This window comes from Homo sapiens, chromosome 1, assembly GCF_000001405.40.
Source record: "Homo sapiens chromosome 1, GRCh38.p14 Primary Assembly".
Classification (NCBI taxonomy): domain Eukaryota; kingdom Metazoa; phylum Chordata; class Mammalia; order Primates; family Hominidae; genus Homo; species Homo sapiens.
In genome coordinates, this window is record NC_000001.11 from 51,152,283 (window position 1) to 51,179,950 (window position 27,668).

The following is a 27,668-nucleotide window of genomic DNA, read 5'->3' on the forward strand; positions in this document are numbered from 1 at the left end:
TTCCACATGTACGCAGATTACCTTCACAGAATAATGGCCTCTGCTTAGATTCTGCTTTCCAAATATTGCACAAATGCCTCTTTAGGCCAGCTTTAGCCAAGAACTATACATAGAAAAAGATTCTGAGAAACATAATTCCAGCTTAACTAAGTTAATACAGTACAAACCACAGTCTACCCATTATCAATTTAGCATTCGTTTACACTTTTTTTTTTTTTTTTTGAAACAGAGTCTCACTCTCTTCCCCAGGCTAGAGTGCAGTGGCACGATCTCGGCTCACTGCAACCTCCACCTCCCAGGTTCAAGTGTGTCTCCTGCCTTAGACTCCCAAGTAGCTGGGGTTACAAGCACAGGCCACCACGCCCAGCTAATTTTTATAGTTTTAGTAGAGATAGGGTTTCACTATGTTGGCCAGGCTGGTCTTGAACTCTTGACTTCAGGTGATCCACTGGCCTTGGCCTCCCAAATTGCTGGGATTACAAATGTAAGCTATTGTACCCAGCCTTATTTACACTTTAACCATACTTGAAACCTCCAAATAAAAACAATAGCAGAGTGATGTTGACAAGACATCCCTCTACAGCAATAGTAATTTAACAGGCATCCACAGACAAAAGTTCCTTTGTTAAGCTTTGGGATCCAGGTAGGAGTTTGTGAAAACCTGGTGCAGCCCAAGACCAAAGAGGGCCTTTTCTTTTTTTTCTTTGAGACAGGGTCTCACCCTGCCACCCAGGCTGGAGTGCAGTGACATGATCACAGCTCACTGTAGCCTTAAACTCCTGGGTTCAAGCAATCCTCCCATCTCAGCCTCTTAAGTAGCTAGGCCTACAGGTGTGTTCCACCATGCCCAGCTAATTTTTTTTATTTTTTTCTAGAGACAGGGTCTTCCTATGTTTCCAGGCTGGTCTTGAATTCCTGGGCTCGAGCAAGCCTCCCAAAGTGCTGAGATTACAGGTATGAGCCACTGCACCTGGCCTAAAGAGGGCCTTTTGAGAGGGCAGAACTGCCCTTGCTGGCCCATCTGCAAATGACCCATTTTCCCTATTGACTCAGCTCTGAGTCCTGTTTGGCCCTAGTCCTGCTACTAGAACCATTAGCCCAGGGACCTGTGAGGAGTCACACCCATTTATGCTTCAAGGTGACAGACCTGCTGACCTCAGTCCCCACAGTGTACTCAGAAATGGCTCTGAAACTTGACTGCAGCCCCTCTCAGCAGTGGTCAGAAATCAGAAGTCCTGCTGGTGGCATAGGGTCCCAGAAGGAGACATACCCACCTAAGTCCCCAGGGCCATTTTGCCAACCTTAGTTCCACAGCAGACTCTGAAATAGTTGTGACACTTGGCTCCAGCGCCTCCCAATAATGGTCAGAGATTAGTACTGCTTATGACACAGGCACCCAGAGAGAGATGTGCCTGTCTGAGTCTGTGGAAAAGGCTTGCTGACCTCTGTCTGGCTGTGGACACTGAAATAACCCTGTGACTTCATTGTGTTCTCTCTCAGCCATGGACCAGGATAGTACTGCCTGCCAAGAGACCCAGTAAGTGACCCAATAGGAAGCGTCCCAGGACACAGAGGAAGCCATACATGGCTGCATACCTAGTATCAGGCCCACTGTCTGCAGACCTTCAAGTGGATCTTCATCCAAGCACCAGCCCTGGAACAAGGTCCTAGAAACATTCTAATCTCCTTAGGGACCAGAAAGGATCCATACCCACTAGAGCTCCTGGTAACAGGCCTGCCATCTGCAGACCCCACTGCAGACACGGAAGCAACCATGTGACCCAGCTCCAACCATGGTCCCAGAGGCAATCTTATTAACTTGAGAGCCTAATAGAAGTTCTTAACCTACTGATAGCAATCTATAAAGACTAGAAGTGGTGCTTGTGCCTTCAAATGCAGACACGAAAGCCAATCTACATGGATAATGAAGAATCAGGCACACATCCTACCACCAAAGGAAACTAATAAAGCTCCAGCAACTGAATCTAAATAAATGAAGATCTACAAATTGCCTGAAAGAGAATTGAAAATAATTATCTTAAGTAAGCATAATGAGATGCAAGAAAATACAGATATACAACTAAATAAAATTAGGAAAACACTGCATGAACAAAATGAGACTTTAATAAAGAAATAGTAACCACGAAAAAGGAACCTAACAGAAATCCAGAAGCTGAAGGATACAGTCAAGAAAAGTGTAATAGAGAGCTTCAACAGCAGACTCAATCATGCAGAATAAGCAATTAGAAAACTCAAAGACAGGTCATTCAATATTAACCAATTAGAGGAACAACAACAACAAAAGGAATGAAGAAAGCATAGGGAACCTAGGGGACGCCCTCAAGTGTATGAATGCACAAATTATGAGAATCCAAGGAGAAAGAGCCCTGTCTGAAACTCCCCAAGTCTTGGGAAGGAGATGAACATCTAGATTCATGAAGCTCAAGGAATCCCAAGAAAGATAAACCCAAAGAAGAATACGCTGAGGAATAGTACAGTCAAATTGTCAAAAATTACAGAGAATTTTGAAACTAGAGAAAGAAAATAAACTTATACAAGGTAAACTCCATAAGGCTAACAGACTTCTCAACATAGACTTGCAAGCCAGGAGGGAGTGGATTGATACATTCAAGGTGTTGAAAGAAACAACTTTCAGCCATGAATACTATAACCAGCAAAGCTATCCTTCAGAAATAAAGGAAAGATAAAACTTTCCTAGACAAACAAAAGCTGAGGGAATTTATCACCACTAGACCAGCCTTTGAAGAATTGCTAAATGGAGTTCTTTGGGTTAAAATAAAGGATGCTTATTAACAAAATGAAAATATATGGGCCGGGCACTCATGCCTGTAATCCCAGCACTTTGGGAGGCCAAGGTGGGTGGATCACCTGAGGTCAGGAGTACGAGACCAGTCTGGACAACATGGTGAAACCCCACCTGTACTAAAAATACAAAAATTAGCTGGGCTTGGTGGTGCATGCCTATAATCCCAGCTACTTGGGAGTCTGGGGCAGGAAAATCGTTTGAACCTGGGAGGCGGAGGTTGCAGTGAGCCAAGATCATACCACTGCATTCCAGCCTGGGTGAGTGACAGAGTCAAATTCCATCTAAAAAAAAAGAAAAGAAAACATATGAAAGAAAAAAACTCAATAATAAATATATAGCCAAGTTCAGAATACTCTAATACTATAACAGTGGTATGCAAATCATTTTTATCTATACTATAAAAGTTAAAAGACAAAAGTATTAAAATAACTATAGCTAAAATAATTTTTACCAAAAACGCAATTTTAAAAGATGTAGTCTGGGTATGGTGGCTCACATCTGTAATCCTAGCACTTTTGGAGGCCAAGGTAGGAGGATCACTTGAGGCCAGGATTTGAGACTAGCCTGGGCAACATAATGAGACCCTATCTCTACAAAAATTTTTTTGAAACAACAAAACAAAACAAAAAAAGATGTAAATTGTGACATTGTTCTGCAGTGGGCAGGCATATGCAGACCTACCCCCAAATTCCAAAGAAGCTGAAAGGCTGAAGAAAGAGACTGGCATATCCAGTTTCTCAGAAAGAAACATTTAATAGAGTCTTACAAGCAGAAGCCATGTCCCAGCAGCCACAAGATGAGATGGTGGATCTCCACACCATTACTCTCCAGACCCAAGGCTTATATACCACAGGGAGGAATGTGTAGGACAATTGAAGTCAACCCCTCAGGGAAAGGCAAAAATGTTATGTGAATATGTATAAGGGCAAAATTTATGATCACGGTTGTTTTGACTTAAGGCCGGGATTGACAGTAGTTAAGGTAGAGGTCTTAGAGGCTTTCTCTGATTAACAAGGGTTAATCAGAAGTCAGCATGGCAGATTAGTATGCAAGATGGAGTTGCTCCACAGATATCAGAAACAAAATTTGAGGGGAAGGAGTAAAAGTGTACAGTTTTTAAGATGTGATAAAAGTTGAGTTGTTTTTTGCTCAAAATAACTTGTTTTAACTATAAGATGTATGTAAGCCTCACAGTACCCACAAAGAAAACACCTATACAAATACACAAAAGATGAAGAGAAAGGAATCAAAGCATACGATTATTGAAAATCATCAACTGACAAAGGAAAACAGCAAAAGAAAAAGAAGAGAGCAAAAGATCAATGAAGTAATCATAAACACCAGGCTCGGTGGCTCACAAATGTAATCCCAGCACTTTGGGAGGTAAAGGTGGGTGGATTGCTTGAGCTCAGGAGTTTGAGACCAGCCTGGGCAACATGGCAAACCTTATCTCTACAAAATATTTAAAAATTAGCCAGGCATGGTGGCACACACCTGTAGTCCCAGATACTTGGGGGCTGAGGCAGGAGGATCACTTGAGCCCAGGAGGTCAAGGCTTCAGTGAGCCAAGGTCATGCCACCCTTCTCCAGCCTGGGCAACAGAGCAAGACCCTGTCTCAAAAAAGAAAAAAAAAGAAAACCAAAGTAACCAGAAAACAACTAATAAAATAGCAGTAGCAGGTCCTTATCTATGAATAATTACCTTGAATGTAAATGGATTAAATTCTATGGAGTGGCTGAATCAATTTAAAAGGAACACAAGATTCAACTATATGCTACATACAAGAGAATCACTTTGGCTTTAAGGACACAGTGAAAGTGAAGAGATGGAAAGTGAAAGTGAAGAGATGGAAAAAAATTTTCTATGAAAATGGAAACTAAAGAGAACGGGTAGCTATACTAAAATCTGACAAAATAGACTTTAAGTCAAAAAAACTGTAAAAAGAGACAAAGAAAGATATTATATAATGATTAAAAGAGGTCAATTCAGTGAGAGAATATAACAATTATAAGTATCTATGCACCCAATAGTGGAGCACCCAAGTATATAAAGCAAACATTAATAGAATTAAAGGAAGACATAGACTTCAGTACAGTAATAGTAGGTGACTTTAGTACCCCACTCTCAGTAGTGAACAGACCATCCAGACAGAAAATCAACAAACTTAAACTATACACTAGACCAAATAGACCTAACTGACAGTTACAGACCATTTCACCCAACTGCTGCAAAATACACATTCTTTTCATCAGCACATGGAACATTTTCCAGAAAGATCACTTGTTTGGCCACAAAACAAGTCTTAACATCTTTTTTCTTTTTTTTAGTCTTTTTATTATTGTCTTTTTTTTTTTTTTTTTTAATCGAAGATCCCTTACTGGCCCTGCTTCCATGAGTAGCAATGATCAGGGGAAAAGGGAGAGGAAACAGCTGGCACAGGGAGGGATCATCTCCACAGCATTCCATTTATGCATAGAACTAAACAGACAATCGCAGAGTCACTATTGCGGTTAGAAGTTGGCAGCATGGGAAGGGGGAGGAACAGGTGGGGAGTAGGGGTGTTGTTAAAAAAAAATACAGGCCACTCCACAACTGGAGTTCCTGGGGGGAATTTGGTCTGCCTCAACCAAAGAGGAATCAGAAGATCAAAAGCAGTTTGGGAAGGCCAGAACCGTCAGGGATGGAGGGAGGAGGAAAATCCAAGGGGTGCGGGTTCTGTTTGGCAACTGGGGTGAAGGGATTGCCCTCCCTCTGCTGGGATCCCCCCAGCCCCTCTGGTCTGGCAGGAAGGGGGCAGCCTGCAACCCCCGAGGGCAGGTGTGGGGCTTCCAGATGCTCCAGGCAGTGGGCCAGAAGGGGCTCACAAAGGCTTGCCCTCCAGGGAGATGATGGCACTGCCCCCCAGCATCTCTGCCAGGGTGCAGTGGTCCTTGACATCCTCGTAGCAGTTTGCTTGTAATGCATGCTTGATCCCTGTCAGCTTCTTCTTGATGGCGTCCTTGGAGCTGGCATAGATTATTTTGCTCTAAAGGGGTGCAGACTCAGGGGCCCAGAAGATAAACACCAGGTCCTCCTCCTTGCTCTCCTTGGTCTCGTAGGTTGTGTCATAGAGGGTGTAGCGGTAGTCCTTATATGGCAGCATCTTGACAAAGGTGGCATAGAGGTTGTTGACAGTCTGGCCCACATCGCCCACCAGGATCTCCTTGCCCTCCTCCAGGATAATGTTCTTCTTGTCCTCACTCAGGCAGAAGAACACCACCTTCTTGCACTTCTTCACCTCCTCTGGCATTGAAGACTTATGCATCTTCATGTCCTTGAACACCTTGATGACACCATCAGAGACGGCCACCCCTGAGGCCATGTTTCCGGAAGTGAAAAGAAGAAGGCATGGAGAGCCTCAGAAGACACCGCTGCTAGGACCCACCTGAACCAAGTCTTAACATCTTTAAGAAGATTTGAATCAAATCAAGTATATTTTGTGGACAAAATGGCATGAAACTAGAAATCAACAAACAGGAGTAAATTTGGAAAATTCACAACTGTGTAAATTAAACAATGTGCTCCTGAACAACCAATGCATCAAAGAAGAAATCAAAATGGAAATACAAACATATCTTGAAATGAGCTAAATAGAAACAAAATATCCCCAAAATTGTGGGATTCAACAAAAGCAGTTCTAAGAGGGAAGATTATAGCAATAAACACGTACATTAAAATGGAAGAAAGATCTCAAATAAATAAGCTAATGTTATACCTCAAGGAACTAGAAAAAGGAGAACAAGCTAAGCCCAAAGTTAGTAGAAGAAATGAAATAAAGATCAGAGAAGAAATAAATCGATACTAGAAAAACAATAGAAAAGATGAACAAAACTAAAACTTAGAATTTTTGTATTATATTTATTAATACACAATTATTATACGTATTTGGGATATTTTAGTATTTCGATACATGTATACAATGTGTAATGATCAAATTAACATTATTGAGACATCCCTCACCTCAAACATTTATCTTTTCTTTGTGCTGGGAACATTATACTTCTTAGCTATTTTGAAATACATAATACATTGTTGTTAACTATAGTCACCCTACTCTACTAGCAAACATTTTAACTTATGGCTTCTATCTAACTGTATGTTAGTAGCCATTAACCAACTTCTCTTCACCCACCTCTCCACCATTCCTTTCCCAGCCTCTGGTAACCACCCTTCCACTCTCTACCTCCGTTAGATCCACTTTTTAAGCTCTCACGAATGAGTGAGAACATAAAATGTCTCTCTGTGCCTGGCTTATTTCACTTAACATAATGATTTCTAGTTCCATCCATGTTGCTGCAATGACAGGATTTTATTTTTTTGTGGCTGAATAGTATTCCATTGTGTATATATACCACATTTTCTTATTTATTCATCCTTTGATGGACACCTAGGTTGATTCCATCTCTTGGCTATTGTGAATAGTGCTAGTGCTGCAATAAACACAGGAGTGCAGGTAGTCTTCAGTATACAGATTTCCCATCTTTTGGATCTATCCCTAGCAGTGGAATTGCTGGATCATATGGCAGTTCTGTCTTTAAGTTTTGGAGGAACCACCATGCTGTTTTTCACAGTGGTTGTACTACTTTACATTCCTACTACAGTCTACAATAGTTCTCCTTTCTCTGCATTTTCACCAGCATGTGTTATTTTTTGTCCTTTTTATAATAGCCATTTTAACTATGGTGAGATAATATCTCATTGTGGTTGTGATTAGCATTTTCCTGATGATAAGTAATACTGAGTATTTTTAAATATACCTGTTGGCCATTTGTATGTTTTGAGAAATGTCTATTCAGGTCTTTAGCTCATTTTTTAATCATTTTTTTCTTTTACTCTTGAGTTGTTTGAGTTTCTTACATATTCTGGTTATTAATCCCTTGTTGGATTGATAGCTTACAAATATTTTTTCCCATTTTGTAGGTTGTCTCTTCACTTTATTGATTGTTTCATTAACTGCAACAGAAGCTTTTTGGCTTGATGCAATCCCATTTGCCTATTTGTGCTTTTGTTGCCTGTGCTTTTGAGGTCTTACCCAAAAAAAATCTTCGCTTAGACCAATGTCCTAGAGTGTTTCTCCAATGTTTTTGTCTATTAGTTTCATAGTTTTAGATCTTACATTTAAGCCTTTAATCCAAGAGTCCCCAACCCCCAGGCCATGGACCAGTACTGGTCAACGCAATCTCTATCAAAATCTCAATATCACTTTTCACAAAAATAGAAAAAAAAACATAAAGTTAATATGGAATCACAAAAGCCCCCTAATAACCAAGGCAATCTTTTTTCTTTTCTTTTTTTTTCTTTTTGAAACAGGTTCTCGCTCTGTCACCCAGGCTGGAGTGCAGTGGCACAATCCCGGCACACTGCAACCTTCACCTCCCTGGCTCAAATGACCCTCCTGCCTCCAATCTACAGAGAAGCTGGGACCACAGGCATGTACCAGCAGACTGGCTAATTTTTGTATTTTTAGTAGAGGTGGGGTTTCTCCATGTTACCCAGGCTGGTCTCAAACTCCTGAACCCAAGTGATCCACCCACCTTGGCCTCCCAAAGTGCTGGGATTACAGGTGTGTACCACTGCGCCTGGCCAGTCAAGGCAATCTTTAGCAAAATGCACAAAGCTGGATGCATTACCTTACGTTACCTCAAAATCTACCATAAAACTATAGTAATCAAAAAAATATGGTACTGGCGTAAAAACAGACACATAAACAAATGGAACAGAAAAGGTGCTCAACGTCACTAATCATCAAGGAAATGCAAATTAAAACAACAATGAAATGAAATATCATCGTTTGCTTGTTAGGAAGACTTTTATCAAAAAGAGAAAAAGTAAGTGTCTGCTGAGGTACAGAGAAAAGGGAACCCTTGTATGCTGTTAGTGGGAATGCAGATTGGTGCAGCCAGTGTGAAAAACAGTATGGAGATTCCTTTAAAAACTGAAAATAGAACTATTATATGATCCAGCAATGCCTCTTCTGGATATATACCCAAAGGAAATGAAATAACCCCTGGTAAAGATATCTACACCCCCATGTTCATTACAAACATTATTTATGATAACCATCATATGGAAACAACCAAAGTGCCCATTGACAAATGAAAGAGTAAAAAAATGAAACTGGACATATTACAACTGCTACCACAGAAATGCAAAAGATCATTCAAGGCTACTATGAACACCTTTATGTACACAAACTAGAAAATCTAGAGAAGACGGATGCATTCCTTGAAACATACAACCCTCCCAGATTAAATGAGGAAGAAGTAGAAACCCTGAACAGACCAATAACAAGCAGCAAGATTGAATCAGTAGTTTTTTTAAAATATTGCTGGCCAGCCACGGTGCCTCATGCCTGTAATCCCAGCACTTTGGGAGGCCGAGGCAGGCGGATCACAAGGTCAGGAGTTCGAGATCAGCCCAGCCAACATAGTGAAACCCTGTCTCTACTAAAAATACAAAAAAAAATAAGCCAGGCATAGTGGCGGATGCCTGTAATCCCAGCTACTTGGGAGGCTGAGGCAGGAGAATCGCTTGAACCCAGGAGGCAGAGGTTGCAGTGAGCTGACATCACGCCACTGCACTCCAGCCCAGGTGACAGTGTGAGACTCTGTCTCAAAAAAAAAAAAAATTGCCAACAACAACAAAAAATGATCACGACCAAATGGATTCACAGCTGAATTCTATCAGACATTCAAAGAAGAATTGATACCAGTCCTACAGAAACTATTCGAAAAGATAAAAAGGAAATCCTCCCTAAATCATCCTATGAAGCCAGTATCACCCTAATACCAAAACCAGGAAAGGACATAACAAAATAAGAAAACTACAGACCAATATCACTGATGAACATAGATGCAGAAAATCATCAACAAAATACTAGGTAACAGAATCCAACAGCATATCAAAAAGATAATACTTCATGATCAAGTAGGGTTTACACCAGTGATGCAGGGGTGGTTCACTATATGCAAATCAATAAATGTGATATATCACATAAACATAATTAAAAACAAAAATCATATGATCATCTCAATAGATGCAGAAAAAACATTTGATAAAATCCAACATCCTTTTATGATTAAAAACCCTCAAAAAATTGGCATAGGGCCGGGCGCAGTGCCTCACGCCTGTAATCCCAGCACTTTGGGAGGCTGAGGCAGGCAGATCACGAGGTCAAGAGATCGAGACCATCCTGGCCAACATGGTGAAACCCCCATCTCTACTAAAAATACAAAAAATTAGCTGGGCGTGGTGGTGTGTGCCTATAGTCCCAGCCACTCAGGAGGCTGTGGCAGGAGGATTACTTGAACCCGGGAGGCAGAGGCTGCAGTGAGCTGAGATCACGCCACTGCACTCCAGCCTGGTGACAGAGTGAGACTCTGTCAAAAAAAAAAAAATTGGCATAGAAGGGACATACCTCAAAGTAATAAAAGCCATCTATGACAAACCCACAGTCAACATCATACTGAATGGGGAAAAGTTAAAAGTATTCCCCTGAGAACTGGAACACAACAAGGATGCCCACTTTCACCGCTTCTATTCTGGATAGGAAGTCCTAGCCAGAGCAATCAGACAACAGAAAGAAATAAAGGGCATCCAAATTGGAAAAGAGGAAGTCAAACTGTCGCTATCTGCCAATGATATGATTGTATACCTAGATAACCCGGGCCGGGCACAGTGGCTCATGCCTGTAATCCCAGCACTTTAGGAGGCTGAGGCAGGTGGATCACCTGAGGTCAGGAGGTCGAGACCAGCCTGGCCTACATGGTGAAACCCCATCTCTACTAAAAGTACAAAAAATTAGCCAGGCGTTGTGGCATGTACCTGTAGTCCCAGCTACTTGGGAGACTGAGGCAGGGGGATAGCTTGAACCTGGGAGGCAGAGGTTGCAGTGAGCCAAGATCATTCCAGCCTGGGCAACAGAGTAAGACTCCATCTCCAAAAACAAAAACAAAAACAAACAAAACAAAACAAAACCAACCCTGAAGACTCATCCAAAAAGCTCCTAGACCCGAGAAATGAAGTCAGTAAAGTCTCAGGATACAAAATCAACATACAAGCCAGGTGCAGTGACTCATGCCTGTAATCCCAGCACTTTGGGAGGCCGAGGCAGGCGGGTCACTTGCAGTCAGGAGTTTGAGACCAGCGGGCCAACATGGTAAAACCCCATCTCTACTAAAAATACAACAAAAGCAGCCAGATGTGGTGGCAGACACTTGTAATCCCAGCTACTTGGGAGACTGAGGCAAGAGAATTACTTGAACCCAGGAGGCAGAGGTTGCAGTGAGCAACAGGGTGAGACCCTGTCTCAAAAAAAAAAAAAATCAATGTACACAAATCAGTAACACTGCTATACACAAACAGTAACCAAGCTGAGAATCAAATCAAGAACTCAATCCCTTTTAAAACAGCTGCAAAAAAAATTAAAATACTTAGGAATATACTTAACCAAGGAGGTTAAAGATCTCTACAAAGAAAACTACAAAACACTGCTGAAAGAAATCACAGATGACACAAACAAATGGAAACACATCCCATGCTCATGGATGGATAGAATCAATATCGTGAAAATGACCACATGGCCCAAAGCAGTCTACAGATTCAATGCAATTTCCATCAGAATACCATCATCATTCTTCACAGAACTAGAAAAAACAACCCTAAAATTCATATGGAACCAGGCTGGGCACAGCGGCTCATGCCTGTAATCCTAGCACTTTGTGAAGCTAAGGTGGGCAGATCTCTTGAGGTCAGGAGTTTTGAGACCAGCCTGTCCAACATGGTGAAATCCTGTCTCTACTAAAAATACAAAAATTAGCCAGGTGTGGTGGTGTGAGCCTGTAGTCCCAACTACTTGGGAGGATCAGGTGGGAGAGTCGCTTGAATCCAGGAAGCAGAGGTTGCAGTGAGCCAAGATTGAGACACAAGACAGGTGACAGAGCAGGACTCTGTCTCAAAAAAAAAAAAAAAAGAAAAGAAAAAAGAAAGAAAAAAATTCACTTGGAAACAAAAAAAAAGCCCACATAGCCAAAGCAAATCTAAGCAAATAGAACAAATCTGGAAGCATTCATTACGTTACCCAGCTTCAAATTATACTACAAGGCTATAGTTACCAAAACAGCATGGTACTGGTATAAAAATAGGCATGTAGACCAGGGAACAGAACTGAGAACCCAGAAATAAAGCCAAATATGTACAGCTAACTTATCTTTGACAAAGCATACAAAAACATAAAGTGGGGAAAGGACACCCTATTCAATAAATGGTGCTGGGAATACTGGCAAGCCACATGTAGAAGAATGAAACTGAATACATAAGTATATAATATATATATTATATAGGATTATTATGCATATTATATACAGGAATATTATTCAGCTTTAAAAAAGAAGGAGATCCTACCATTTACCACAACATGGATGGATTTGGAGGACATTATGCCAAGTGAAATAAGGCAGTTACAGAAAGGAAAATACTACATGATCTCACTTATATATGGAATATTAAACAAACAAATACATACGAATAAAGAGTAGAATGGTGCTTACCAGTGGCAGGGGTGGGTCATGGGAAGATGTATATCAAATGGTACAAAATTGCAGTTATGTGTGATGAATAAGTCTCAGATCTAATGTACAACATGAGGACTATAGTTAATAATATTGTATACTGATAATTTGCCAAAAGAGTAGGTTTTAAGTACTCTTACCATAACAAGAAAAAAAAGGGAGAAAAGGTAAATGTATGAGATAATGGGTATATTAATTTGCTTGACTGTGGTAATCCCTTCACTATGTATATGTAGATCAAGATAAGTACAGCAAAACATCATGTTATACATTCTAAATATATACAATAAAAAATAGCAAAATCATGCTTTAATCAGACATGATACAGTACCTTTTTTTTTTGAGTGGGGGTCTCACTCTGTCACCCAGGCTGGAGTGCAGGGCACGATCTCAGCTCACTGCAACCTCCTACCCCCAGGTTCAAGAAATTCTCCTGCCTCAGCCTCCTGAGTAGCTGGGATTACAGGCATGCACCACTATGCCTGGCTAATTTTTGTATTTTTAGTAGAGATGAGGTTTCACCACATTGGCCAGACTGGTCTCAAACTCCTGACCTCAGGTGATCTGCCCACCTTGGCCTCCCAAAGTACTGGAATTACAGGTGTGAGCCACCATGCCTGGCCTCAGAACCTCTTTTATAACAACAAAAAAGTATCAACTCTCTTGCTAAAAGAGGCTACAAAGTCCCCTTATCTGTCTTTGGGTGACATTTGTTTCTCATCTAGTGAGTCACAGATCTCTATTTGCATTCTGTTAACCTAAGTAATGAGATGCTTAGTTAACCACTATTAACAGATGTTAGATAGTAAGGAAATGACATAGGAGAAGAAAAGAAAAAGAATTGGTTAAAATATATACAAATACACTTCAAAGTAAGACTGAAATAGCTATAATTGCTACCATCATTATTTCTGTAACTGATCACATAGCTGAGACAGAAAGCAAAATATTCACTACTGGATTATTAGGAGTAATAGTGAGAGGAGTCACCCTTGTGTCTTGGGCCTGAGAATCCTGGCCATGAGACAGGCAGCACCATATCTTGGTAGCTGAGCATGTACCACATCCTGGAGGACATTTCCTGGGCCCTGCAAAGTATTGCCAGCCAGCCAGCACTATAACTGAGTCTTCAAAACTCCTTTTACTATTGTATTAGGCTATTACTTCAGGGTAATGGGAAACATGGTAAGACAAGTGAATTCTGTGAGCATTAACCCACTGACACACCTCATTTGATGTAAAGTAAAATTATTTTCTGGTCAGAAGCAATCCTTTCAAAATACCATGATGGTAAATGAAGTGCTCTGAAGTCCACGGAATGTGGTCTTGGAAGGCAAATCCATTTCCAAAGTAAGGGTATATTCCAGTAAGAATAAAGATGCCTTTGCACGGTGGAAGCAGTCCAATATAATCAACCTGGCTGCAGGTGGCTGACTCAACTCCCCCACCCCCTCCACACCCTCAGGAAATGGAGAACTAGTGTTGGTATCCGCCGTTGGCAGGTTGGGCACTCAGAAGTGGCTATAGTCATATCAGCTTTAGAGAGTGGAGGTTCATATTGCTAACCCATGAGTAATCGCCATCCCTTCCACCATGGCCACATTGTTCAGGAGTCTATTGAGCAAGGACAAAGGTGACTGTTGAAAGAAGGTAACTGACTTCATGGACTGCATCATCTTATCTACCTGACTATTAACATCTTCTGATGTTCCTCATTGAGGAGCTTCTAAATGGGGCTCAAATTTATCTTCACACTCTGTACCCACTCAGAGAAATTTATCTACATACATCTTCCTCAGATTCCTTGTCACTGATTTTCTTTTTTTATTTTATTTTATTTACTTATTTTTTATTTATTTTTATTTTATTTTATTTTATTTTATTTTTATTTTATTTTTTTGAGACAGAGTCTCACTCCGTCGCCCAGGCTGGAGTGCAATGGCACAATCTCAGCTCACTGCAACCTCCGCCTCCCAGGTTCAAGCAATTCTCCTGCCTCAGCCTCCCAAGTAGCTGGGATTACAGGCGCCCGCCACCACACCCCACTAATTTCTTGTATTTTAGTAGAGACAGGGTTTTGCCACATTGGCCAGGCTGGTCTCAAACTCCTGACCTCAGGTGATCTTCCTGCCTTGGCCTCCCAAAGTGCTGGGATTATAGGCGTGAGCCACTGCGCCCGGCTGTCACTGGTTTTCTAATTGTACTTTTTACAAGTTTCCAACCCTCCAGCCAAACCAATAGCTATTGCCGATGAATCAGTAGAGATCTGTATCTCTGAATATTTATCCTTTCAGGCTATACCAAGTGCACTGCTCAAAGTTATACCTACTTAGAAGATTTTCTTTCACCAATGCCCATCAGGGCCATACCTTAGCAGGACTGTGGTGTTCCAGCTGTGAACTTTCAGAAGATGCTGGCATATCATACAGAACTATCTGTAAACCAAGCTCAAGTATATTCTTCGTCAGTCAACTGGTGACAAGAAACTCTACTTGATGACATTGATATGTGTTGAGAAAGAGAAGGTCATGTAATAGGACCAAGAGCCATGGATCTCTTAACCATTTCCTTGTGCAATTTGTTTATGCCTTCAGAATATGCTCAAAGCCAATTATGTCCCAATTCCACTAATTGACTGAGTGCATATATGCATGCCTAACTTTATGTCTTGATGGATCAGACAACATTCACTTCATGGTAAACAGCTCAACTCATGTAGTAACTTGGTGACCATGGTCATATGTTAAGTTTCTAGTAGTTTAATAGCAAGCCATAAGGATAACAATTATTGGCAGAGGAGAACATAGCTTTGCTTCAAATTCTATAGGCTCTGATTTACCAATAGTGGTCTGTAAAAGTCTCCATTATAGCATCCCTATCTGCTATAGACATTTCAAGAAGCATGGATATGCTGGGTCATATGGCCCACGTGGCAGAACTACTGACATGGCAGCCTGGACCTGTTGCAGAGTGTTCTATTCTTCTGGGCCCCACTCACAACTAGAAGAACTCTTTCGGGTTACTCAGCAAATGAGTCAGAGTAGCACAGTTAAAGAAGTATATGTTACCTCCCATATCCAAAGAAGCCCACTAGACGTTGCGCCTCTTGGTGCCTAAGTGTATGTTGCCTCTAATATCCAAAGCAGCCCACTGAGCATTGTGCCTCTTGGTGGTTGGTGGAGTCAGATGCAGAAACTAGTCTTTCACCTTGGAAGGATATCTGAACATGCTCCAGACCACTCGATGCCTAGTAATTTTACTGAGGCAACACTCTCTTGAATTTTTTGGTATTTATTTCCACCCTTTGGCACACATTATATTATTGACTTGTTTAGAGTAGCTGGTAATTCTTGCTCACCAGTTCCAGTCAGGATGATCTCAAAAATATCCTATGGATCAAGACCCATTTGGACCAGATTATAACATAACGGAGGGTTAGAGAGGTAATACAGCCCTGAGGTAGAACAGTGAAGGTGCAGTGCTGATCCTTCCAGGTGAAATAAAACTACTACTTGTAGTCTATAATAACAGGAAGAGAGAGAAAAGCATTTGCCAGTGGAGTAGCTGGATAACAGATTCAAAAGAATGTGTTTCTTTGCTCCAGCAATGAATCAATGCCTGAAACAGTGGCTGTAGTTGGAAGAACCACATGATTACATTTGCAACAATCTACTTTCATTTTCTAAGATCTATTTTCTCCACAGACCAAATAGGCAAGTTGAAAGAAGATGTGGCAGAAATCACCACCTCTGCATCCCTTAAGCAACACTAATCACTACAATCTATGTGGTATTGCTCTTGGTTTACTATTGTGAAAGGGAAAACCATTCTAGTGGCTTCCATTTGGCATTTGCTACCACAATAACCCTCATTCCACGGGTCAGGGAACCTGTGTGGAGATTTTGCCATTTGCTAAGTACATTTATTTCAAATACACATTCTGGAACTGGAGTAATAACCATGGGCCCACTGAGATGAACCCAAACCAAAACTCCATTAATAACCTGACCTCCATAAGCCTCTGTTTTGACTAGAAGACCACTGTGACATTTTAGGTCTCCAGGAATTATGTCAGTCCACAACCATTATCTAGTAATCCATAAGAAAAATCTAGCTTTTATTTCCCTTAGCCTAATAAACTGTCACTCTGGTAAATGGCTGCAAAGCTTTTGTGGAGAGCCTAGGAGAAAGATTTACAGTGTAAATTTCAAACAGAGAGGCAGGGTCTTTCTTCAAAACCCATTCTTTATCCAAAGGGATCTGGGCCTGTGAACCGGCTCAAATCTGCGAAGTGGTTGAGGAGCCACAATTCTATACTGTGGTAGCTCAAGTCAGACATATTTATCAGAGCTAGAGCTTTTCCTCTTATTCAAGTCAAGTAAGTCTTTAAAGATTAAAGTCTGTCTCCACTGTGGTTGACAACAGCTGAAGCGTCTGCTTGGCTCTTTCAGTTCCCAGCTGTTGTTTTCTCCAGATCCCTTGGATTTTCACCCATGCATGTACAGTTCAAAAGTGAGCCAAGGATTTGAGGGGCATTTATATACAAATTTGGGGCTCTGACATCCACATCTCCCTCCTTTCTAGGATTTTCTCCCTTCCTTAATTTCCAGGCGCTCTGGCAGTTTGAAATTCCTTTTCTAATTCCTCAGGTCAATAAGACTCTAGCTTTCTGCTTTCAGATCTAGCCTCCAGGTATTACAGAAAGTCGGGAATATCCTAAGTGGGAAAGCCTATTAAACATATATCTTAACTAATGTATTATTGTTTCCTTCTTTCAAATGCCAAATCTCCAGCTTCTGCTCTGTTTTAGTGGCCCTTCAGTTCATAATCGTTATCTGCAGGAGAATTTATTCAGTATAAGCAATTATGTCATTACCAGAACTTTCTACTTTTTTTCGGTAGTTTTTCAATTATTTCTCAAGCATATTATTGAGGGCAACTGTCATATGTAATCAGTCTACTATCTTTTTTTTTTTTTTTTTTTGAGATGGAGTTTTGCTCTTGTTGCCCAGGCTGGAGTGCAGTGGCACGATCTCAGCTCACCACAACCTTCTCCTCCTGGGTTCAAATGATTCTCCTGCCTCAGCCACCCAAGTAGCTGGGATTACAGGCATGGGCCACCACGCCTGATCAGCCTACTATCTTGAAAGCAGTGTTCCAGTTTTACAGTCTCTAAAGGCCTCCAACCATTGATCAAACCAATATCTAAAAATTTTACCCTTCTAGGTCCTAGCAAGCAAGAAGGGGTGGTAAATTTATCTAATGGCTGAATTTCAGGCAAAAGAAAATCCATGATGCCCTGTTCTTATTTCAATATTGATTGGCCTCACAGCAGATGTGGAAACTAAGAAAGAGAATTGAAAAGAATGACATATCACCATAATTGTATGATATGTCTTTAAGTTATAGTAGTTTACCTTAAAATGCTATTATAGTATATTTGTATACATTTTGTATACAGTAATGCACCATATAATTTTTCAGTCAACAATGGACCACATATATGACCATGGTCCCATAAGATTACAGTGGAGCTGAAAAATTCCTGTTGCCTAGTGATGTTGTACCCATTATAACATAATAGCACAACATATTGCCTTTTCTATGTTTAAATACATTTAGATACACCAATATTTACCATTGTGTTACAATTTTGTACAGTATGCAGTACATTAACATGCTATACAGTTTTGTAGCTTAGAAGCTATAGGCTATATGCTGTATAGCCTAGGTATGTAGTAGGTTATACCATCTAGGTTTGTGTAAGTACACTCCATGATGTTTGCACAATGATGAAATCACCTAATGACACATTTCTCAAACCATATCCCTGTTGTTAAGCAATGCATGACTGTATCTAGTGCATATAGTACATTGTGTAAGTATCTTACAAGAGTATATGTCATTTCCCCCCACCATTCTTTGTGCTTTGTTGTCATGCATTTTACTGTTACTTTTGTTTAAAACGCCACACTACATCATTATTATTTTTACTTGAAATAGCAAATTATTTTTTAAAAGAATAAAAGCGAGGGCCAGGCGCAGTGGCTCATGCCTGTAATCCCAGCACTTCAGGAGGCCGAGGCAGGCAGATCACTTGAGGCCAGGAGTTCAAGACCAGCCTGGCCAACATAGTGAAATCCTGTTTCTACTAAAAATAAAATAAATAAATAAATAAATAGCTGGCCGTGGTGGTGCACACCTGTAAAAAAAAAAAAAAAGAGAGAGAGAGTGAGTGAGAAATGTATCAGCTTACAATGCTTTGCACAGACAAATGCAAGTTTGAAGATACCTAAGTTAAAATAGTATATATTTCTTTTTTTTTTTTTTTTTGAGACAGAGTCTGGCTCTGTCACCCAGGCTGGAGTGCAGTGGCGCGATCTCCACTCACTGCAAGCTCTGCCTCCCAGGTTCATGCCATTCTCCTGCTTCAGCCTCCCGAGTAGCTGGGACTACAGGCACTCGCCACCACGCCTGGCTAATTTTTTGTATTTTTAGTAGAGACGGAGTTTCACCATGTTAGCCAGGATGGTCTCAATCTCCTGACCTCATGATCTGCCCGCCTCGGCCTCCCAAAGTGCTGGGATTACAGGCGTAAGCCACTGCGCCTGGCCAAAATAGTATATATTTCTTTAAAAATCACTATGTATTAGAACTTGTGGGAAAAGGCAATAACAAAAATAAGAAAAAAATTTTTTTAATCACAGGTACTATTGAAGTATAAACAAGTTTTAGAAAGTACTGGTTATACAGGTTGTAGAAAACACTTTCACAGGACCTGAAATCAGTTTAAGGAAAATATCTGAGCCTTAAGCATTGAAGGCACTTGACTTTATACCAGCAACAGCACAATTACAAGAAATGCAGTGTTGTAGATGATTCCACCTCTCTGAAGTATGAATGGGGTACATACACAGCAAGTAGAGTTCAGGAAACTTTATCTTTCAGCCACCCCATCTAAGAGCAGGATTTTGCCTGCCAGTATAACCCAGATACACAGTCATATGCAGACACATACAACGAAGCTTCCAGAGCTTATCTGACTTCTTAGACAGAACTCACATAAGCACACAAACACAAACTGAAATCATAACAAACAGTCTCTTGGACCACAGTGCAATCAAATTAGAATTTAAGATTAAGAAATTCACTCAATTGGCTGGGTGCGGTGGCTCACACCTGTAATCCCAACACTTTGGGAGGCAGAGGCAGGTGGATCGCCCGAGGTCAGGAGTTCAAGACCAGCCTGGCCAACATGGTGAAACCCCATCTCTACTAATAATACAAAAATTAGTGGGGCATGATGCCACACACCTGTAATCCCAGCTATTCAGAAGCCTGAGGCAGGAGAATCACTTGAATATGGGAAGCGGAGGTTGCAGTGAGCCAAGATCACACCTGAGTGACAAGAGTGAAACTCCGTCTCTGAAAAAAAAAAAAAGAATCCTGAATGACTTTTGGGGTAAATAATGAAATTAAGGCAGAAATCAAAAAGTTCTTTGAAACTAGTGAGAACAAAGATACAATGTACCAGAGCCTCTGGGATGTAGCTAAAGCAGTGTTACAAGGAAAATTTATAGCTCTAAATGGCCACATCAGAAAGCTAGAAAGATCTCAAGTTAACAACCTAACATCACACAAACACAAGAGGGTATTTCAAGACACACACTTGCAAGTGCTCTTTCTACAGAAACAGCCAAAGTATTATAATATTCAGAATGTGGAAGATTGACACAGAGTCTGAGGATTTTGTTTTTTGAGATGGAGTCTTGCTCTGTTGCCCAGGCTGGAGTGCAGTGGCACAACCTTGGCTCACTGCAACCTCCATCTCCCAGGTTCAAGTGATTCTCCTGCCTCAGCCTCCCGAGCAGCTGGAACTACAGGTGTGTGCCACCACGCCCGGCTAATTTTTTGTATTTTTAGTAGAGACGGGGTTTCACCATGTTAGCCAGGATGGTCTCCATCTCCTGACCTTGTGATCTGCCTGCCTCGGCCTCCCAAAGTGCTGGGATTACAGGCGTAAGCCATCGCACCTGGCCAGTCTGAGGATTTTTTAGAGGAAAAAAACAAAAGACTTGGCAATATGATAACTACATAACAGATATGGCAATCTACAGGACAAAAAGACAGCATTTCATAAAACATTGTTCATACAATGCTGTTCATGGAAAACAGTAAAACACCTTTTAGCAGAGTGCGTGTTAACTCTTTTAGTAAGATTATCTGTAATGAGGTTTGAAAGTAAATCACTTAGTAGGCAAAGTAAAGCATTGCAGAACCAGGAAATAGCACCCATCACTTCTGCTTTAATCGTAACTACAGAAAGCTGAAAGTCAAACAATTTTTTAAAAGGCAAAGAAGCATTTCCCTTTGAATTCAGTCCTAAGATAAAAACATGAATGTTTTATAATTAATTTCAAAATAAGTATCTTTCAAGTGTTTTATGAAACATTTTTCCCTGAGAGGCAAATTCAACATTATGAAAACACGTATTTTGCCAGGTAGTTACTGAGAAATGTCAATCCTTCAATTCTATAGAGAAAAAGACACATGGATTTCGTCTCTGAATCCCACAGCCACTTTCATGTTCACTGCTTCTGCTTTACGTTCTGCATCGGTCTCTTAAGGTGGAGATAAAAGTATGATGCTCATTGCTAGAACATCAACAACAAATCAAAAGAAAAATCCAGTAAAGGATGGCAGGTGTAACAAAAACTGAGTTTCTGAGGAAGCAAAAACAAGAATTAGGTAAAGTTTTATAAAGAATTCTATAGAAAGACTTAAATATAAAAAACTCACTAAAAATCCTTAAAGCCTGATGGATTATTGCAATGTCAAGTTAGCTTAGGTCTACAGACATGTTGCTAGAAACGAAACTAAAGGGGGCATGTGAGAATATGTTCAAATAATTTCTGCCTTTCAGGATGTTATTTTTTTCCTTAGAAGCCACAGGTGACTTTGAACTTAAATTATTCACCAAAATCACAAAACCAAAACAATAATATAAGAAAAAGACCAACAGCATCATTAAGAAACTTGAATCTCCTCTTCTTTCTTTAGCATCTAAATGGTAGTTATCTAAATTTAACACATAACAGGCACTGGAAGTGGTGATTGTCTGAACAGCCTGATTATCCATAGCCTCAAAAGGAGATCTGATATTTTTGTGATTTGGTTCTCATTAAATTCCTATACCAAGTAAAATGCCAGTTCCTGTGGCCTATGTTTTAAGATGATAGATAGACAGATAGATAGATAGATAGATAGATAGATAGATAGATAGATAGATATACTTTTATATAAATATAGTTTTTTCTGAGAGCAACCTTACTCAGAATTATGAAGTGTATTTGCAGTAGCTGTTCTAAAATCTGTGTCTGCTAATACCATCATCTCTGTCATTTCTGTCTTTCTTTTGATTGATTTTTTTCCTAGTTAAAGGTCATATTTTTCTGCTTCTCCATTTGCCTGGTAATTTCTTATCTGATACTAGACATTGCGGGATATTTTGGTTTTTTGGTTTTCTTGAGACAGGGTCTCACTCTATCACCCAGGCTGGAGTACAGTGGTGCCATCTTGGTTCACTACAACCTCTGCCTCCCAGGTTTAAGTGATTCTTGTGCCTCAGCCACCCAAGTAGCTGGCATTACAGGTGTGGGCCACCACCCCCAGCTAATGTTTGTATTTTTAGTAGAGATGGGGTTTTGCCATGTTGGCCAGGCTGGTCTTGAACTCCTGGCCTCAAGCGGTCCACCTGCCTCAGCCTCCCAAAGTGCTGGATTACAGGCATGAGCCACTGCGCCTGGCTGACAATGTGGTTTTTACATTGTTGAGTGTATTTGCTTACAACACCAACAAAAATCCATCATTGGCGGATTTTTAAAAATTATTTAAATAATGTTGGACTTTGTCAACATTTTAAGGACATAGAATCAGTGTGATCCTTTTGAGTCTTGCTTTTAAGATTTGTTAGATTGGGGCTGGTCGCGGTAGTTCACGCATGTAATCCCGGCACTTTGGGAGGCCAAGGTAGAAGTATCACTTGAGGTCAGGAGTTCGAGACCAGCCTGACCAACATGGTAAAACCCCATCTCTACTACATATGCAAAAATTAGCCAGGTGTGGTAGCGCGAACCTGTATTCCCAGCTACTCGGGAGGCTGAGGCAGGAGAATTGCTTGAACCCCAGAGGCGGAGGTTGCAGTGAGCCATGACAGTGCCACTGCTCTCCAGCCTGGGCAACAGAGAAAAAAAAATTGTTAGATTGGGTCCAGATCAGCCTTTAATCTAAGCAAAATTTAGCTCCACTACTAAGGTGTTCCCCTTCTGAGGACTCTATCCGATCCACTATATATTATTTTGTCTTCCCACTCCGGCTTTGCACACAAAATATTCCCAGCCCTGGGTAAGCTATCGGAATTGTTTGGCCTGCTGCTTTCCAATATTTAGCTTCAGATAATTTCCTCATACATGTGCACAGATCAGTCCTCAGCCAAAGATTCAGGGAGAATCCTCTGCAGTTCTCCAAAGCTCTTTCTTTTTGCAGTTCCCTCCTCTTTGACAGTCTGCCTCACCAGTACTAGCTGTCTTAGCCTCCCCAAACTCCAGTGATTGTCTCCTCAACTCAACTAGACCACCAGACTCTTTAAATTCCTCTTTCCTTATCTGCCGTGTGGAAACTTCCTCCAGGCAGTAAGTCGGGAACTCAAGGGTTCACTTCATTTACTTCCTGTATCTTAGGGTTGATAGTCCTGCAATGCCTGTTACCCAATGTCCAGAAACATTGCTTCATAATTTTTTCTGGGTTTCTAATTAAGTAGAACAGTCCCTGTTATTGCATGATGGCTGGAAGTGGAAGTTCCTCCTACCTCTGGTTTTGCATTATTCCTCAAATCTATCATTTTCCTTATAAGGTCAGAGTGATATTTCATAAATGCAAATCTAATATTATCATTTCTCACTTAAACCTCCTCAATTGCTTCCACCTGAGACTAAACCCATTCTTAAATTCTAGGTTTCATTCATCCTAAAGGGTTTTTGGAATTCACCAAGCTGTTTCATGCACCTACACCTATTTTACTTTCTACCTTTTTATCCTGTAAAAGACAGCTCTCTGCTCCTTTGTGAAGATTTATGTAACTACTCTCTGCATTCGGGCAGTAAATTTCTTCCTCTTTTGGACCTGTGTTTTACCTCATGCTTAATTCTGTGTTCATCATACAGTATTATAATTATTTGTATATCTATCCCCTCTACTGTTTTATGAGCTCCTTAAAAGTAAGGCTTGTATCTTTTCAATGTTTCTATCCCCAGGATTTAGCACGATGCATAGTACATAGTAGATATATGAATTCAAAATTCATTTGAATTTTCAGAATTCATTTGAGAATTCAGAATTAGTCCAACCATCTCTACCTCCAAAATAGATCCCAGATTTGTTCTCTTCTATCTCATCTGTGTTACCCTAATTCAAGTCATTATTTTATCTTGCCTAGATTACTGTAAGTCTTATAAGTATCTCCCTGCTTTTTCTTCAACAATTCATTCTCTATGCAACGGCCAAAGTAATCTTTTTAAACATAAATCAGATTACCGCAATCTCCTCAAAACCTTCCAATGCCTCCCTATTGTACTAAAATTCCAGTCTGGGAGCCATGGCTCACACCTGTAACCCCAAAACTCTGGGAGGCCGAGGTGGGGGATTGCTTGAGGCCAGGAATTCAAGCTCATCCTGAGCCACATAGTGAAACCCCATCAATACAAAAAATAAAAAAATTAGTTGGGTATGGTTGCCTGCACCTATAGTCCCAGCTACTCAGGAGACTGAGGCAGGAGATCACTTGAGCCTAAGGGGTCAAGGCTGCAATAAGCTATGATTGTGCCACTGCACTCCAGCCTGGGAGACAGAGCAAGACCCTGTCTGTAAAAATAAAATAAGTAAATAAATTTCAAATCCTTCATTATATCCTGTACAGTTTTGTATGCAGCAAGTCTTTCCTGCCTCATTAATTTCATTTCAAACCCTTCTCCCCCGTAACTCGATACATTCCAGCCACACGTTATGGTTTTTTGTTTATTTGTTTGTTTTTGAGATGGAATTTCGCTCTTGTTGCCCAGGCTGGAGTGCAATGGCGCAATCTCAGCTCACCACAACCTCTGCCTCCCGTGTTCAAGCAATTCTCCTGCCTCAGCCTCCCGAGTAGCTGGGATTACAGGCATGCACCACCACTCCTGGCTAATTTTGTATTTTTAGTAGAGACAGGGGTTTCTCCATATTGGTCAGGCTGGCCTCAAACTCCTGACCTCAGGTGATCCTCCCACCTCAGCCTCTCAAAGTGCTAGGATTACAGGCATGAGCCACCGCACCCAGCCGGCTGTTACGTTTCTTAAACATACCACACTTAATTCTGCCTTAAGTCTTTGTATTTCTTCCTTCTGGCTGTAAGGGTCTATTTCCAAATTTGGGCATGGCTGACTCTTAAATATTATTCAGATTTCATCTCTAATATCACTTCCTTAGAAGGGCCTTAATGGGCCTACAGGTAGAGTAGAACCCCAGAAGGGGAAAAAGAACCCTGTGGTGTGGAATAGAATTGGAATTAGAGGTATAATTATGTATGTATGTATGTATGTATATGCATAGTGTGTGTTAATTTACACTGATACCTCTAACATCATATATTCATACTATGTATATTCATATTGACAACTCATCCCAGTGGCAATGAACACAGTTAATACCCAGATCTTGGTGTCTAAAAACTATTTCCCACTCAAAGGAACAACACTCCTTGGAAAAATGGCTGATTTCAGGGCCAGGTCAAAGAAAATATGAAGTGATTCTGGAACATTTTCTTGTGCCTAAAGTAAAGCAGTGCTTATAAATTGATGACACCATGCCAAGAGGACATCTAAGCCAGCTTGAAGGGGCTTCCCTGGTCAAATTAGGAAATATTTGAAATTAAAATGAATGACTACATTTATGTAACAGATTATAATATATTGAATAAAAAATAATCCAGCCAGGTGTGGTGGCTCATGCATGTAATCCCAACACTTTGGGAGGCTGAGGCAGGAGGATCACTTGAGCCCAGGAGTTCAAGGCTGTAGTGAGCTATGAGTGAGCCACTGTGCTCCAGCCTGGGTGACAGAGTGAGACCCTGACTCAAAAAAAAAAAAAATCCGTGGGCCCATACTGATAGTGAGAGGTGAAGCCTGCTGGGCTTCTGGGTCGGGTGGGGGCTAGGAGACCTTTTCTGTCTAGCTAAAGGATTGTAAATGCACCAATCAGCACTCTGTGTCTAGCTAAAGGTTTGTAAATGCACCAATCAGCGCTCTGTGTCTAGCTAATCAGGTGGGGACTTGGAGAACTTTTGTGTCTAGCTAAAGGATTGTAAACGCACCAGTCAGCACTCTGTGTCTAACTGAAGGTTTGTAAATGCACCAATCAGCACTCTGTCAAAACAGACCAATCAGCTCTCTGTAAAACGGACCAATCAGCTCTCTGTAAAATGGACCAATCAGCAGGATCTGGGTGCGGCCAATTAAGGGACTAAAAGCAGGCCACCGGAGCCAGCAGGCAATCTCTCAGAACCCTTTTTATACTGTGGAAGCTTTGTTCTTTCGCTCTTCACAATAAATCTTGCTGCTGCTCACTCTTTGGGTCCAGGCCGCCTTTAAGAGCTGTAACACTCACCAGAAAGGTCTGCAGCTCCGCTCCTGAAGTCAGTGAGACCACGAACCCACCAGAAGGAAGAGACTCTGCACACGTCCGAACATCAGAAGGAACAAACTCAGGACACGCTATCTTTAAGAATTGTAATACTCACCGTGAGGGTCCATGGCTTCATTCTTGAAGTCAGCGAGACCAAGAACCCACCAATTCCGGACACAATAGCAACCATCACCGTGAACAATTTTAGAACATTTTCATCACCACAAAAAGAAATCTCATACCCATTAGCAATCACTCCCCGTTTCTCCCCCAGTCTCTGCAACCATCAGGCCCAGACAACCACTAATGTACTTTCTGTCTCTCTAGATTTACGTATTCTGGATATCTCATATATATGGAATTACACATATGTGGTCTTCTGGGGCTGGCTTTCTTCACTTAGGTTGTTTTCAAGTTTCCTCCGTGTTACAGCATGTATCAGGACTTCATTCTTTTTATTGGTGAATGAATATTCTATTGTACAAACATACCAAATTCTGCTTATCCGTTCATCAGCTGATGAACATTAAGGTTGGGACTAAGTTTTAATGTAAGTTGTTTACCGACACAAGATAGCAAACTAAGTTACTTGTGTACTATATCCTGAGATGTTACCGACTCTGAAAAGAGTCACAGAAAAGAAAAGGTGGAAAATAGGCTGAATATGTAAAAAGTATTCATCTCAGCCAAAGCTACAGCCCAGTTATTTAAGCTATAGAGTTAGGCATTAGCAATGACATGATGAGCCATATTGAAATCTAAGATAAAGGGGAAAATATACATGTTTTCATGTATTTTTAGTGGTTAATTTTTTCGTAAGTAAATCATGAGTATTTTTAAAAATTAACAGATTTTTAAAATACTAATGAATTTGTTTCTATTAAAACCAGAAAAGTAGGACAGGCATGATAGCTTACACCTGTAATCCCAGCAATTTGGGAGGCTGAGGCAGGAGGATCGCTTGAGCCCAGGAGATTGAAATCTGCCTGGGCGGCATAGTGAGACCATGTCTCTACAAAAAAATAGAAAAAAATTAGCTGGGCATGGTGGTACACACCTTTAGTCCCAGCTACTCAGGAAGCCAAAGTGGAAGGATAGATAGCCTGAGCCCAGGAGGTCGAGGCTGCAGTGAGCCATGATCATGCCACTGCACTCCAGTCTGGGCAAAGAGCAAGACCGTGTCTCAAAAAAACAAAAACACAGGCCGGGGCAGTGGCTCAAGCCCGTAATCCCAGCACTTTGGGAGACCAAGGTGGGTGGATCACCTGAGATCAGGAAAAGACCAGCCTGGCCAATGTGGCGAAACCCCATCTCTACTGAAAATACAAAAATTAGCCGGGTGTAGTGGCAGGCGCCAGTAATCCCAGTTACTCAGGAGACAGGTAGGAGAATTGCTTGAAGGCAGGAGGCAGAGGTTGCAGTGAGCTGAGATCGCACCACTGCACTCTGGCCTGGGCAATAGAGTGAGACTCCATCTCAAAAAAACAAAAACAAAAAAAACAAAACAGAAACCCGAACA

At 41.0% G+C, this 27,668-nt stretch overlaps 1 pseudogene; it reads right to left on the reverse strand.

Moving 5' to 3' along the window:
* CFL1P2 (cofilin 1 pseudogene 2) lies at window positions 5,157-6,258 on the reverse strand (annotated as a pseudogene).